The 15,265-nt window shown below is 43.3% G+C and overlaps 1 protein-coding gene, 1 non-coding gene and 1 pseudogene across 6 annotated transcripts in view, besides 1 other annotated feature; 1 reads left to right on the forward strand and 2 right to left on the reverse strand.

Annotated features, from left to right (window-relative positions):
• Window positions 1-15,265, reverse strand: part of AAK1 (AP2 associated kinase 1) — a 185,743-nt gene that overhangs the window by 55,420 nt on the left and 115,058 nt on the right. For all 5 annotated transcript variants that reach the window (NM_001371577.1, NM_001426746.1, NM_014911.5 and 2 more), the window contains exons 9-13: window positions 13,800-13,903; window positions 11,617-11,696; window positions 7,418-7,572; window positions 5,538-5,824; window positions 1,055-1,333 (exon numbers count right to left, since the gene is read on the reverse strand). In NM_001371577.1, coding sequence (NP_001358506.1) covers window positions 1,055-1,333; window positions 5,538-5,824; window positions 7,418-7,572; window positions 11,617-11,696; window positions 13,800-13,903 — 905 coding nt within the window. The remainder of the gene's footprint in view (window positions 1-1,054; window positions 1,334-5,537; window positions 5,825-7,417; window positions 7,573-11,616; window positions 11,697-13,799; window positions 13,904-15,265) is intronic.
• RN7SL604P (RNA, 7SL, cytoplasmic 604, pseudogene) lies at window positions 3,335-3,630 on the forward strand (annotated as a pseudogene).
• Window positions 5,501-5,795: an enhancer, noted in NCBI's record as "tiled region #9634; K562 Activating non-DNase unmatched - State 8:EnhW". NCBI's record gives its function as "activates a minimal TATA promoter and a strong SV40 promoter by Sharpr-MPRA in K562 cells {active_cell/tissue: K562}" and the evidence as "EXISTENCE:reporter gene assay evidence [ECO:0000049][PMID:27701403]".
• On the reverse strand, window positions 6,628-6,755 carry SNORA36C (small nucleolar RNA, H/ACA box 36C). The gene has a single exon (NR_003705.1). It is a non-coding gene; the product is annotated as a small nucleolar RNA, H/ACA box 36C (small nucleolar RNA).

Here is a 15,265-nt window from a genome sequence, read left to right on the forward strand (position 1 = left end):
TCACGCCATTCTCCTGCCTCAGCCTCCCGAGTAGCTGGGACTATAGGTGCCTGCCACCACGCCCGGCTAATTTTTTTTTTGTATTTTTAGTAGAGACGTGGTTTCACCACGTTAGCCAGGATGGTCTCGATCTCCTGACCTTGTGATCCGCCCGCCTCGGCCTCCCAAAGTGCTGGGATTACAGGCGTGAGGCCACTGTGCCCAGCAGAAAGATGGCTTCTTACTTTTCCTTTGTTCCTCTAGTAGTTAGACTTCCCTGGGAGTAACAGGGTAGCTGTGACACTCTACCAGCTGGGTATGCAAAATGTCTTTTTCTAACACCATAACATTTTCTATCACTATCACTCAGAAAAATAAGAGTACAGAAAAAAATCCACTTATCACAGGCCAAAGCATGATGTGCCCGTGTGTGTTGAAACTGTAGAGGACAATCAGACGAGGGGTTCTGATGCCATACTCAGCCAATATCTAAAAGTGGACATGCCCAATTTCTAAATTGATAAGATGGCTCAAATGACTGGATACTCAGATGCTCTGGTACCCAGGGGGATTACACCAGGGTGAATGGTCTCAGGTAAGCAGGCCCTTGACGGGAGCTGCATGGTAAACTTAAATAATGTGATTAGTAATGTCATCCAAGACAAAGAATAAACACAACATGGAGGACCCAGGGCCTGGAAAGGGCACAATGGATCAAACTGCCCCTTGAAGAAGAGAAAGGGATTAGCTTTAATCCTGCCTAGGTCCTTGACTGTTCAAAGTGACACAGACAGAGATGATGAACAGATCTTCCTGCTAGCCTAGTTTCAGAGTGATAAAAATTAAGAAGGCTCTTCATCAGTAGCCTAGAATCCTTTTTTAAAAAAACCTCTATCTTCTATAGAACATCCATACTATTCTTGGATATATCAAGGAAAGATCAAATAATTGAACCACCCAGGTGGGAAAGCAACCTGGACCCTCATCAGCTGCTGCCATCTTTCCCACCCTTCCCCTAGCTCTCGCTGCACATTCCTCTGCTGCTTTTGTGCTCTGAGCTCTGGTTGATTCTTACCGCTGGCTCCTGGGCAGGGGCTGGCTGTGGGGCTGCAGCTGGCTGTGGCTGGGGCTGCTGTCCTGCTGCCATAGTGGGCTTTTGCTGCAAGGCAGCCTGCTGAGTCATCAGCTGTTGTTGATGCAGGGCTGTGGCCAGCTGTTGCTGTTGCTGTTGTTGTTGCTGCTGCTGCTGCTGCTGGTAGAAATTCTGCATTAGCTGCTGTTGAGAGCCTCCTTGGGACACCACAGGGAACTGAGCAATTGCTGGTTTCTGGGTTGCTGGATGTACTGCCTGAAACTGAGCAAGAAATGAGGAGATGAATAAGGGCCTGTCCCAGAATAATAGTCACAAAAGACAAATGTCTCAAAAACAATGAAGACCAGTGCTAAAGCCAAAGGCAAGGGCAAGTAGAAAAGTCTTGAGGCTAGGCCTAAAATCTCATGATAGAGACCTCAGGGAATTAAAATACAACACAGCAGCAGTCCCTTACACTGCTAGGCTCCATCCATTGCACCAGGCTGCCTCCTGCACTACAGACTGGCCTTCCAAGTGGGTTTCTGGGCCTTGCCTAAGGGAAGCTATCTGACTAAACATCATGTGACTCCATAAGCTAGAGTATAGCAGGAGCTAATAAACGATCTCCTAATCATAGAGGTAATCCTTCTTATAAAGGGATTTGAAGTAGCCAAGATTAAAATGCTTCCCTACCTGAACAGGATGAAGCAATGATGACACTGAAAAGAATAACCTAAATGTTAACTCAACTATTAAGACTCATCTCAAGTCTTACTAAAAATTATTTCCCAAGAGCTCCATTTTTATTAAACTTCCTTAAACATTCAAAATAGCCAGTGTGCTCTATGACGCTTCCTTTTGTTTGTTTGTTTGAGATAGTGTCTTGCTGTGTTGCCCAGGCTGGGATGTAGTGGTGCAAGCAATCTCGGCTCACTGCACCCTTGACCTCCTGGGCTCAAGTGATCATTCCACCTCAGCCTCCTAAGTACCTGGTATCACAGGTGCACACTACCATGCCTGGCTAATTTTTTTTCTTATTTTTTGTAGAGACACAGTCTCACAATGTTGCCCAGGCTGTCTCGACCTCCTGGGCTCAAGCAATCCTCCCGCTTCGGCCTCTGAAGATGCTGAGATTACAAGCATGAGCCACTGTATCTGGCCCACACTTCTTATATGTCTCTCTAATCCCCACTGTTAGGGGCTATGTGCTACATACACAAACAGAGCTCAAAATAAGGGCCTGCTGATGAACTAAGGTCAACACTGTATCTTTGAACATCCCGTATACTTTACGTAGTTATTAGAGTCAATTGGGAGGATACTGTTTGTCTACTGGGGCAAAGTTAAAGGGTTAACAAATTAGAAGATGTCAAAAAAAAAAAATAGCTGCCTACTTATAACAGCAAAATACTGGAAACAACCCAAATGTCTATCAACAGGAGACTGGCTGATTAAATATTTATGATAGATATATCCTGAAGGAAATATCTAATAGAATACTCTCAAGTTGTAAATAAGAATGAGCAATACCACTATATATGGGTTGGTGGGGATGGACTTTTGCAGATTTAACTCTGAAACTATGTAAATGTTTCACATATCCACAAAACAGAATTAAACTAAAATTTAAAAAGCAATAACTAAAAATCAAAAGCAAAACAATGCATATAAACCGGTGTATCAAATTGGTAGCTGAACGCGCCAGAAAATAATGTGCTAAACATTCTAAGGGTAAAATGGGCAAGGAAATCTTAAACTGTTTTCAGTAATCATATGGTTATTGCTATCTTAAAACGATAGAACAATTAATTATCTATGTTAATGCTGTTAAGAATCAAGATTTCCAGAAAAAAAAAAAAACAACAAAATCCAAGAAGTTAAACAGAAATCCAGTAATTACAAATCCAAATTAGGAATATAAATCCGAATTCATAATGCCTATTCTCCAACAAAACAAAACAAAATATATTTTCTAATTGTCCACTGAGAAGGCCTAGAAACAACAAGCAATCCATTAGGCAAATGGTATTTCTAGCATCAAAACTGTGGTTTCTAAACATTATTTGCACTAAAAAGAAACAGAGCTCCTAAGAAAAATGGATGATTTCAAGTTGAGGGCAGCATGATCCTAGAGGGCAGCATGATCCTAGATAGCAAGGAAATCATTAAAGACCACTGGAGTTACATTCAAAGGATTTAGGAGCCAATTTGAAGAGACTTCCACTGGCCAAAGTTGGGGCAATCTGAGCTTTAAAATAAATACATTTTTTAAAACTGCAATATGCCAGGCATGGTGGTGTGCACCTGTAGTCCCAGCTACTCGGAAGGCTGAGGCGGGAGGATCGCTTGAGCCCAGGAAGTCAAGGGTTGTAGTATGCTATGCTAGTTGGGTGTCTGCACTAAGGTCAGCATCAGTATGAGGACCTCCCGGGAGCAGGGGACCAGTAGCCTAAGGAGGGTTGAACCAGCGCAGATTAGAAACGGAGCAGGTCAAAACTCCAGGGCTGATTAGTAGTGGGATCCTGCTTGTGAATAGCCACTGCACTCCAGCCTGGGCAACACAGCAAGGCCCCACCTCTAGTAAAAACAAAACAAAAAAAGCAATGTATTCAAAGATATCAAATATGTTAAAATCTAAGAATTCCTAATGATACTAACTAAACTAAACAAAACAAAAACGTCACTGTTCACCTTTGGATGACAAGAGGGAACAAATTTATTACTCTGAAAACCAGTAAACAAAAGGAAAGAATCAAGTGTTTTTCCTGCCTTTTCTGTACAAACAGTACCTCAGGGTAGCTAAAGAGCTGATGAAAAAATTTCTTCATGGAAAACGTCCAGCCCTCAAATGAAGAGGGAATGTTAGAATATCACTGTGCCATCCCTGATGAATTAAGGAACTTGGCAAATGATCAGTGATACCTGCTAAGCTAATGGGGAACATTAAACAAATGGATCAGACAGACAACACCTCAATACACCGATTGATCTTTTTTTCTTCCTTTTTTTAAAAATATTTTTGGGAAACGCAGTCTTCAGGGAAATCTGAAAGTACACGCTCCCTGATCTTAATATCAGTGAAATAGAGGCCAGAGAGACATTACAGACCTCCTGACATGATGCAACAGGAAGAACAAAGAATTGTCAAACTGAATCAAATACTGAGTAAGCCTCGAGAAATTACCAGTGTACACGGAAGACGGTCAGACACATCAAATGACACCATAGCATGCAATCAGCTAAACCCAGAATGCCAAAAATTCCAAGGGACAAATAATCCAGTTTCTCCGAAAAATTAAATGACAAAAAGCAAAAAAAAAAAAAAAAAGAGGAGAGGGAACCTATGGATAAAAGGGGACTTAAAAGATATATCAGCCAGCAGCCGCATAGGCTAATGTGTGTAATTCCGATGATTTGGGAGGCTGAGGTGGGAGGATGGCTTGAGGCCGGGAGTTTGAGACCAGCCTGGGCAAAATAACGAGACCCCCATTTCTACCAATAAAAATTAGCCAGGCATGGTGGCACATGCTTATAGTCCTAGCTACTTGAGAGACTCAGCTGGGATGATCACTTGAGCCCAGGAACTGGAGGCTGCAGTGAGCTATAACTGCACCACTTCACTCCAGCCTGGGAAACAGAGCAAGACCATACCTCCAAAAAAACAGATATACTCATCATTATAAAATGAATACATTCATAGTAAAAAATGTGAAAAAAATATATGAAAAGATAATGGAAAACAATATAGACCAACTAAATACAATCTGTTAGTATTGGATACTGATTCAAACAAGCCAACTTAATTATGAGATATCAGAAACAGTTAAACACTAATGGATATTTGATAATAAGAAACTATTGTTATTTTTTCCTCTCTTATGATAATGGTGTTACAGTTGTATTAGAAAAAAGAAGAAAAAAAAGCAGTCCTTAAAAAAAAATAGTTTTTTTTTTTTTTTTTTTTTTTTTGAGACAGAGTCTTGCTCTTGTTGCCCAGGCTGGAGTGCAATGGCACGATCTCGGCTCACTGAACCTCTGCCTCCTGGGTTCAAGCGATTCTTCTGCCTCAGCTTCCCAAGTAGCTGGGACGACAGGCTTGCGCCACCATGCCCAGCTAATTTTTGTATTTTTAGTAGAGACAGGGTTTCACCATGTTGGCCAGGATGGTCTCGATCTCTTGACCTCGTGATCCACCTGTCTCGGCCTCCCAAAGTGCTGGGATTACAGGCGCGAGCCACTGCACCCGGCCAAAAAAATAGCTCTTGTACTGATGTTCCTCAATCAGATGACAGATTCCTCATGGCCTGAGTAAAAGGGTGAAAGGGGTGTGAGTGATGGATCCGCTTCTCAATGCTTTAGTATCTACATCTATGAGAAACAGTGATGTAATGTTTAATGGCTCTCTGGGAAGACACCTTTACCTAGTGGGCCTTTTCACAGTCATGACTCAGATATGCAAGCAAGGGCCACACTCTGACCACCTTACCTGCTGAGTCTGGGCCTGCTGCTGCTGGTAAAACGTGCCTGCCGGCTGCTGCTGTGCTGGCGGTGGCTGTTGCTGCTGCTGTTGCTGCTTGAGGAAGAGTTGCTGCTGGTGCTGGGGTGTGGCCTGGGCCTGAGCGGGCAGACCCTGGGCCTGAGTAGAAGGCGTCTGCTGTGGAGTGGGAGGAGCCTGTGGCTGCTTGGCCTGAGTTTGCGGCAGAGGCTGGCTGGGTGGGGCTTGGGGTTTTGGTTGGGGAACACTGGCTAAAAGGCCAGGCTGATTGCTGGATCCTGCAATGAGAATAAAGTCCATGTAAGGGTTCCAAATGCTTCCACACAAAAATGGCTTTCTGTCTTGCCAAAACAACTAATAGGGGGTGACAAGTGTGCAGAGTATCTCAAGATTCGTGTCCTCCTCACTGTCTTTCCACATGCTCTGTCCCACCTGGAATGTCTTTCTATCTTCTTGCTAAATTATGTGCTTCAAATTTTTCAAAACAAGGTTCAATATTGCCTCCTTAAGAAAGTCTTCCCTTATTAATCATCCCATTTAGTCAATTACAACTTTAGTTGGCACCCCAAATGTCTACATATTCAACTGGCCTTTGGTACATATGCACAAGCTTTGCCCCTCTTGGCATGCAGCATGACAACATCATTCCCTGGTGTTCTACATGTAGCTTATCCCAGTCTGGATGCGTGGCTATAAGTAGATGGCCACCAAATTCACCAAAAGCAGCTTCCTGGTAGGGTTCAGTTACTCGATATTTTGGATCAATCCTTTTTATGAAACAAAGCTTACTTATTTCATTAGAAACAGAATGCCAAAACATGAGGGGGTGTTAGATACTTCAAGAGACAAAGCATTAAAGAAACAATATTCTTCTGTGAATGTCAAAAGAGAGGAGTCTTGTTTCTATTTTTTTTTTAGGCATGTATGAAAATAACTCAGTTTCTTTGTATCTCAGCCCATCAGACCCCAAACTTCCTAAAATTGAAAGTAAGTTGTCTGCTAGTCCAAGCTCTTCAGCCTCTTTAGTCCTGTCTCTTCCAGGCATCTTTAACTGTTGATGTATTAGACCCAAGCAGGCATTTTTGTAGGCTGGGAGGCAAATGAATAAAATAATGCTTTCTACCCAATCATCTCCCCTAGCCCATTTCAATGTCCCAAAGTTTAATTAACAGAACAGGGAAGCTGCCCTGGACTGAACTCAACACTTTGGAAGAGTCTTATTTCTTTAAAGGCAAAGGGAAATATATGAAATAAAGAGGGAGGATAAGGTTCCAAACTGCAAAAATCAGGGCCAAGTCTAGAAAAAGCGACAAAGGGCTTTAGTGGTTTTGGAGATCCATCTCAGAATTCAAGGAGGCCTCTCCTTTTGCCAGCCATTTGCGATACAATTCTTTTCTTTTTTTTTTTTTTTTTTTGAAGCGGAGTTTCACTCGTCACCCAGGCTGGAGTGCAATGGCACGGTCTTGGCTCACTGCAACCTCTGCCTCCCAGGTTCAAGCGATTCTCCTGCCTCAGCCTCCCCAGTAGCTGGGACTACAGGCGCACACCACAATGCCTGGCTAATTTTTTGTACTTTTTTTTTTGAAAAACAGGGTTTCATCATGTTGGCCAGGCTGGTCTCGAAATCGAACTGACCTCGGATGATTCACCCGCCTTAGCCTCCCAAAGTGTTGGGATTACAGGCATGAGCCACCACGCCCGGCCACTGCCATACAATTTCAAGGGCAGCTTCCTCCTGTTCCTCAAGGAACACTGTTATCTCTGTGTGCCTCTGGAGTCCAATCCTAAAGCAAACCAGGCTTTCCAAGACTTCTCTGTTGTCCAGAATAACAAAGAGGTGTATTGAGTTTCAAACCAATCTAGATACAAACCTGCAGCCTGAGGTGGGGGCTGAACAGTGGCCCTCTTCCGGGGTGTCAGCGCTGGCTGGATGGGAAGGATTCCTGGGTTCGGCTGAGTCTGCCCAGCTTTAGGCCTCTGGCGGGGTGCAATTGAAGTCTCTGTGGTGGGAATGGGATCTGTCAGTCTAGAAAGGGAAAAGAGAAAGGTTCATATTAAAGTATGGGAAAAATGGAAGGGAGTGGGCAGAGGACACAATGCTTCCGCTTCCACATCGACCCAAACCTTCCAGGTCTGTTTAATCGATGCTTCCCAAAGAATCTCCCACAGGATGCCATTGTTACTAGACCTTCTGAAAGTAGGCTTGGTGGGCAAATACATTTTTAACACACTGATCAAAATATACTGAGTGGCTCTCCTTCTAGCAGAACTTTTCATGTGCGAATATGCAAGGACAATCTCAAAAAGAATGCTATATAGTATTCTCTTTGCATTCTCAAGCTTATTTCTTCTTGTGGCGCTTTTACCTAGTACCTCCTAGGATTTCCCAAAATACCCTTTGGGTAATAATGCAAAGAGAGGTTTGAGGCACATGGTTTTCAGATGCGAAGAGGATTCAAACTTGGCTGCAACTAGCTGTTAAAGTGGTCTCTCTAAAATGAAAAGCATGCAGATGAGTGAATCCAACATGGGAACTGGAAGGAAAAAGTAAATAATTCAAGTCAAAGGGTTTAAAAATAAAAAGGAAGTGTCACAGAAACTCCATTTCTTCCAATATACATACTATCTTTTTTCCACAGTAACAGAAGTTTTAGCTGGGCACAGGGTCACCCAGAGTAAAAATCACATTGCCCAGTCTCTTTTGAAAACAGGTGTGAACCTGTTTCTAAGTCCTGGCATTACATGAGATGTAAGAAGATTATCAGGTGGCAGTTTCCAGAAACCATAAGAAATAACTGGTTCAAGTCCTCTGTCTTCCTCTTTGACTATTCCTTGATCCTGCTGCTAGGAGCAGAGATGTTGCCATATTGATCCATGCAGCCATAGCTACACTGTAGGAATGGTGATGTGGTTAGCTTGAAGAAGTCTAGATCCCTGAGGGCCTCATGGAGCAGAACTGCCATGCTGGCCTTGGACTACTTACCTCCAGACTTTGTTTACTTGAGAGAAAAAAATAAACATCTATCTTCTATACGCAGCTGTCACTTTGGACTTTCTGTAATTCACAGCCAGATCGACACTTTCAAACTAATATAGGGAAGACTGCTTGCTCCCTGTGAGGGGTGCAGAAGCCCAGGTGCTAACTTCCACTCATTTACAGTAGTCCAGGCAGCTAGCTACTACCTAACTCAGATCAGAGTTGGCCGTCCTTTGAAACTCCACTTTACAGAGTATAACTGAGGTTAGGCCAAAATTAATAAGTTTCAAGAATATTTCCAAAGCATGTTTTGTCAAAATATTTCCAAAACAGCCTCCATGAATGTAAAACAGGAAGCAAAGCAGCTGGCCTCATGTCCTTCCCATGACATACCTCCAAGGTCCATCCTGGGCCCAGAAACTTTGCACTGGCAACCTGTTAGAGGGATGCTCTTGTGCCGGTTGGGGAAGTGGTGATATAAAGGCTATCACATCTTGGGGGCTAGAACCTGGGCAAGGGATGTGGGAAGAAAAATGGGACACGTGCTGGAGAAAAGAAGAAAGGTGTAAGAAAGAAAAAGCTGGCTGGGTGTGGTGGCTCACACCTTTAATCCCAGCACTCTGGGAGGCTGAGGCGGGTGGATCACTTGAGGTCAGGAGTTTGAGACCAGCCTGGCCAACATGGCAAAACGCCGTCTCTACTAAAAATACAAAAATTAGCCGGGTGTGGTGGCACGCGCCTGTAGTCCCAGCTACTCGGGAGGCTGAGGCTGAAGAATCACTTGAACCCGGGAGGCAGAGGTTGCAGTGAGCCAAGATCACGCCACTGCACTCCACCCTGGGTGACAGAGCAAGACTCCATCTCAAAAAAAAAAAAAGAGGAAAAAAAGAAAAAGCCAAGGGTGAGGGAGGTGAGCAGGCTTCTGTAGAAACCCAAACAGCACAACCTCCATGTTGATCATCTCTTGAGGGGAACATATTAGAGCAATGGGATCTGGAGCCAAAGAAAAATATATCTGAGTTCTAGCTCCTCACTAAGTAACTGTGTGATAATGGGTATGTCACTCACCCTCTTTCAGCTTTGGGTCCTTTATGTGTAAAAGGGAAAAACATATGCCTACATCATAAGGCAGATGTGAACATCAAATGTTATCAGTAACTGTCAATCTGTTTTATTAATTGTAGAATGTCCAAAATATTAGTTTGTATGGACTTCAATGAGTATGTTTTGTGGAGTGGAGTGGGGAAAGGGATCATTGCTTACCCTCTGCACATATCATGTTTGAGCCTAGTACAAGACAGCCATGAGCACAAAGGACTAAGCTACTTAAATCAGCCCCAAAACAACTTCCAAAGAGGTGAGCATGGCAGAATTAGTGAAGGAAATGGACAGACTACAAAGTAACAAGTTTTGTTTGTTAAGCAAGTTTGCTACGTTTATTAAAAATCAAAGTCTCACTACTTTAGAGGCACATCTAAAATAACTTCATGTACACAGCAGGCATTTAATAAATATTAAAGAACTTTTTAAGATACAGGTGTTATTTGACTGTTCAATTAAAATTCACATATTCCCATCCAGGGTACTTTGTTGACGCAGTTTGCTGCTAGCACTTACTCGTGATGGTGGTAGAAAAAAGAGGAGTATAAATATCTCCTGCGCTACCTCTAGAATCTGCCATTTGGAAGGGGTGGCAGCCATGCGAAAGTGCTTTGTAGACCTTCATCTACAGGGAGCATAAAACCCCAATGCTCAGCTGCTGCATTCCCAAAATGCAGCACTAAATGCAGCACTGCTGTGTGTTTGCCCTGGTGCCATGCTTCCCATAGGTTGCTGCCAGCCCTAACCTCCAACCCACAGGAATTCCTAGGAGATGAGGGACTATCTGCTGGCTGACTGGCACAAGGACCCCAACACCTTTGGTGAGTCTTACTTAAGTTGTGAGACAGTCTAGGTCACTTCCACCCATGCTTCTTCTCCCTCTGTCTGGGTCAGACTTGCATTGCCTTCCGATGGCACTCCCAGCCTTTCCTGGCTCCCTCCCTGTTTTCCCTCACATGGGCATTTCCCCAAATAACATCTTCGTTTAATCCTCTTTTGGCATCTGCTTTTTGGAAGAACCTAGGTTGAACAGACTGTGATTAGCTAAGACCCAGAGAGTCTTCTGCTGTTCACTGACCTGGTGCTTTGACCTGCATTTTCCTAATGTGGTTGGAGCCATAGAAAGTAAGAAGGAAAGGGAGGTTGAGTGTTAGGGTGGTGAATGCAGCTAACCAAAAGTCAGGACACATGTTTAGGATATTTTTTACATTTTTTAAAAAGAGATAGGGTCTCACTGTATTGCCCAGGCTGATCCCAAACTCCTGACCTCAAGTAATTCTCCTGCCTCAGCCTCCAGAGCAGTTGGTACCACAGGCACGTGCTACCATGCCTGCCTAATGTTTAGGATACTCTTGTACTAGCAACATTCTTTTTTTGTTTTGTTTTGTTTTGTTTTGTTTTGTTTTGTTTTTGAGATGGAGTCTTGCTCTGTCGCCCGGGCTAGAGTGCGGTGGCGTGATCTCAGCTCACTGCAACCTCCACCTTCCAGGTTCAAGTGATTCTCCTGCCTCAGCCTCCCAAGCAGCTGGGACTACAGGTGTGTGCCACCATACCCAGCTAATTTTTGTATTTTTAGTAGATGGGATTTTGTCATGTTGGCCAGGCTGGTCTTGAACTCCCGACCTCAGGTGATCTACCCTCCTAGGCCTCCCAAAGTGCTGGGATTATAGACGTGAAACACCACGCCTGGCCGTACTAGCAATATTTAAAGTCTGCTGTTGCCTCATCTCTGAATGCCCCTGAGCCTATTCCCATGCAAAGAAAACAGCTTCAGAGTTCTTGATTCTCTTTCAAATGTAGATCACAATATTTCATGATATTCCTTTTTGCATTCCCAAAGAACCGTTTCTGCCTAGGCAAGACAGAGCTTGCTTTCCTGATCTGTGCAGCCCCTGGTCATGACAGCATACATAAGAATCAAGAAACACAGGCATCATTCCCTGCTGCTGTGGCAATCCAAGGAGGACATGTGTTCATGAAGGCATTTCTTACCTGGCCTTTGGCTGGGTCTTTTTTGCAGCTGCCTCACTGGCTTTCACTGGTTCAGGAAGCTTTGCAGGAATGGGAGAGTTCTATAGAATTGCAAACAAAACAGAACAAAACAAAAGGACATCACAGATTTCTTTGTTAAAGAATAAGCAGCCTGACTGGGACTGAGAGCTGATGGAAACACATTTTGGGATCTTCTGGAGCAGCTTCCAGGCCCTGAGCTCTGTCTGGTAGAGGGAAGGAAAGTTAACCAAATGCATATCAGACTCAGCCACAGTCAGGGAAGCAATGTATCTGAGAAGAGGAGAGAGTAGCTTGTGTGCAGCACACATTCCCGGATTATTCTCTACCTTCTGTACCATGGTGAGTCACTGGGGCTTGATCTCAGTACCCTTCTCCTCCTATAGCACAGCTTAGAAGTGATGCTATGAAAGGAATGGGAAGGAAATGTCTGTAGCTGGTATTATTCTGGATCCCAGACAGATCTTCGTTCGAGCTTATCAATGTGTCAAACCAGGGTGCACTGAGTCTGCAAGTTAGAATGCTCAGAGAAAACCACAGCCACCTCTGTGTATGGCTGCTGAGCCAGTACCCTTCCCAACATGTGAGGCACTACTCAGTCCACAAGCCAAGGAGAGTTCCTCTGGCTTGAAATCTGCACTATCCATCTAATAATGCCTCATGAGGGAGCACCAACTAGCTGTCCCTAACCCTAAAACAAGTGCTTACCACTACTGAGTACCAAATGACATAAGACTTGTGAGGTGTACTTTTAAAAAACTAGCTACCAATCTGAATGCTTCCACTTAGATTTCACATTATTTAACTTTATGAATGGGAAAGTGGGACTACAAAAGAAGACAGTCATGTTTGGTTACTGCACAGTATCCCTCGTTTTAATCTGGGAAACCAACACACAATACTAGTTATAAAACTGGCCTTTTAGGAGGGTCCTCTCGCTTCCTTCATGTTTCCAGGTGGGGGGAGATTTTCTGCTAGAAAACTTCTAGCACTTCCTCTTCTTCAAGCATTCCTCTCCCAAAGGAGAAGAGTTGACTTCTGTGACTGTTAAGACTGTAGAAAAACTGAGCTGGTCCGGTTTGCTTTGCCCTCCTTCCTTTAAAGAAGAGCTGGTCCCCCAGGAATCAGGTGTTTACATTTCAGTCATGTGGGTCTAATGCTAGGGAGCCTGACTGGTCAAGCTGCATCTTCTGACTCAAGCTTATTAGTAATAAAGCCAATATTCTGAGCTCCACATGGATGAACCCCACATCTGATTCCAAATGTGAGAGTGAAAGAGGAGCAGCACCCTTAAGTCCCAGCAGTGAAATCAAAAGTTCATTATTGGAGGAACTAGCAAGAACATTTCAGATCAGAATCTATTATTATAGCATCCATTAATAAAATATTTAAGAAAAATAAATCACAATATGACATGAAAAATATGCAAGGATTTTTAGTAGAGATGGGGTTTTGCCATGTTGGCCAGGCTGGTCTTGAACTCCTGACCTCAGGTGATCCATCCTCCTCGGCCTCCCAAAGTGCTGGGATTACAGACGTGAGCCACCATGCCCAGCCGTACTAGCAACATTTGAAATCTGTAAAAAGGACATTTGCAAGCATTTTGCTCTGAAAACTGAGTGCAGAGTTTAGGATTACTAAATGTAGAAAACATTCTTATGGCTTGATGTGCTGGAAGGACAGAGAAAGAGGAGTGTGAGTTATAAATGGCCAACAGCAGAAGCAAAATCAAGAAAGCTCTGCTGCAAGGAAGGAGAACGGGGACAAGGGGCGTAGGTTCTAACAGGCATGGGGGCATGTCCAAGGCATTGCCTCGGGAAAGTAGCCTGCCTGTAATCACCTCCAGGTGACTACAACAGGCATGTGGCTCTCAGAGAACTAGAAGAGTTGACAGACATGAAGTTGGTCAATCTTCATCCAAAGCGTCCAACTCAATCCCTAGGGCATTTTTTTGTTCAGTACAATTGCTTCAGTTTTATAATTAAATTCCATGGGAAAACTGGATTCCCTTTATGGCAACTGCTTCACAGTTAGCTTTGCTTGACTACCCCCAGTAGATAAAGCAAGGGACATCTAAATTCATTTAAACAGCTGATTAACACCCCAGGAGCTCAAAATGGCAATTTGATAATGTTTACTCCCTTTAAATAGCACCATTCACGTACCTGTACATTTGGAATTGGGCACTCTTTCTTGAGTAGCTTAAATGAGAAGTAGGACACCTGGTAAATATCCGGCCTTTTGTCAGGGTCTGGTTCCAACATATACCCTAAGGCAAACATGTGAATTTATTTAATAATATTCCAACAGTTATTACACTAGCTAGGAAGCATCATTCCTCTCTCTACTCCCAATGTTTTGTTTTTAAACTTTTATTTTTCATAGAAGTCAGACAGTATAATTATCCCCTTTTCTCTCCCTTAGAAAGAGAAGCTCTAATGTTCCTGAAATATTTAATATCCATAAGAAAATAAAATATATAGATTGTAACAAAGATACTTAAAGTTCATATTCTATGCTTTGCACCAGAGGGACTCAAGCTCTCAATATGAAAGTTACCACCTTCATACTCCGATACCTAGGAGGTTACACGGTCTTACCATGGGCTTCCTTGGTTCATCTTATCTTACTAAACGAATGATTATTCTTAATAATTATAACCAAAACCCAAACTTCATGAATTTACTTATTATTCTTTTGTTGGAAATATTAGCTGGTTTCCAGATTAAAAGAAATTACAAAGTAACGTATGCATATCTACTTTTCCTGTGACCTATAGATCACTTGTCTATTTCCAGGTCCTTTAAGCTTCTGCCTCCCTGAGGCTGGAAAAATCCTCAGGGGGAAAAAAAATTATTTGAGAAGACCACAAACATACACATACACATGCAAACAACAACGCAAGGCAGCTGACTGCTTAAATAATAAAGTGAATGCTCTGGACACTAAGTTCCAAAAAGATCAGTGAGGGTGCAGCCTTGTGACTGCCTTGCAGAAGAGGCAGAGCTTGAGGTGGCCCTTGAAGGCAGGACAGAATTTAGTCAGTGGGGAAGCAAAGAAAAAGACATTCTAGTTAAGAGAACAGTCTGAGCAAAGAAGGACTTGGAGAAAGACAAGAGAATGCCTGCTGCAAGTAAATAGAGGAGCCAGAAGGACAGGGTAGAGAGAAGTCTGAGTGGGTGGAATGCAATCAGAATCAGAATCTTAAATGCCATGCTAAGAAGCTGAGCCCTACTGTGAGACCATTGGCAAGCCGCTAGAGTTTCCTAATCAGGGACATGAGAGGTGGTGTTTTATAAGAGGAATCTTTTGGTGAGGGTGTGCTGGATGGATTGAAAAGAGAGGAGAAAAGCTGGTGACCAGTCCAACAGTAAAGGCATGAGCTGACAGAGTCTGTATATACTATGGTGACAGTGATGTTCATATAAAGAATGTAATGAAAACAGTAGAAACTCCAAAAAAGGAATATGGCCGAGTACACGACTGAACCTTTCCTCTCTTGCTAGCTGGATCCAAAGAAATCTTAAATTTCATTCTTCCAGGCTTCAATGGTGATACCACTGAGAGAAACTGAAAAGAGGACAGGCGAACTGGGTATTGAGGGTAAAAAGAAGGAAGGAGGGCTAATGAT

The sequence above is a fragment of the Homo sapiens genome, chromosome 2, assembly GCF_000001405.40.
Source record: "Homo sapiens chromosome 2, GRCh38.p14 Primary Assembly".
In the NCBI taxonomy this organism is placed as follows: Eukaryota; Metazoa; Chordata; class Mammalia; order Primates; family Hominidae; genus Homo; species Homo sapiens.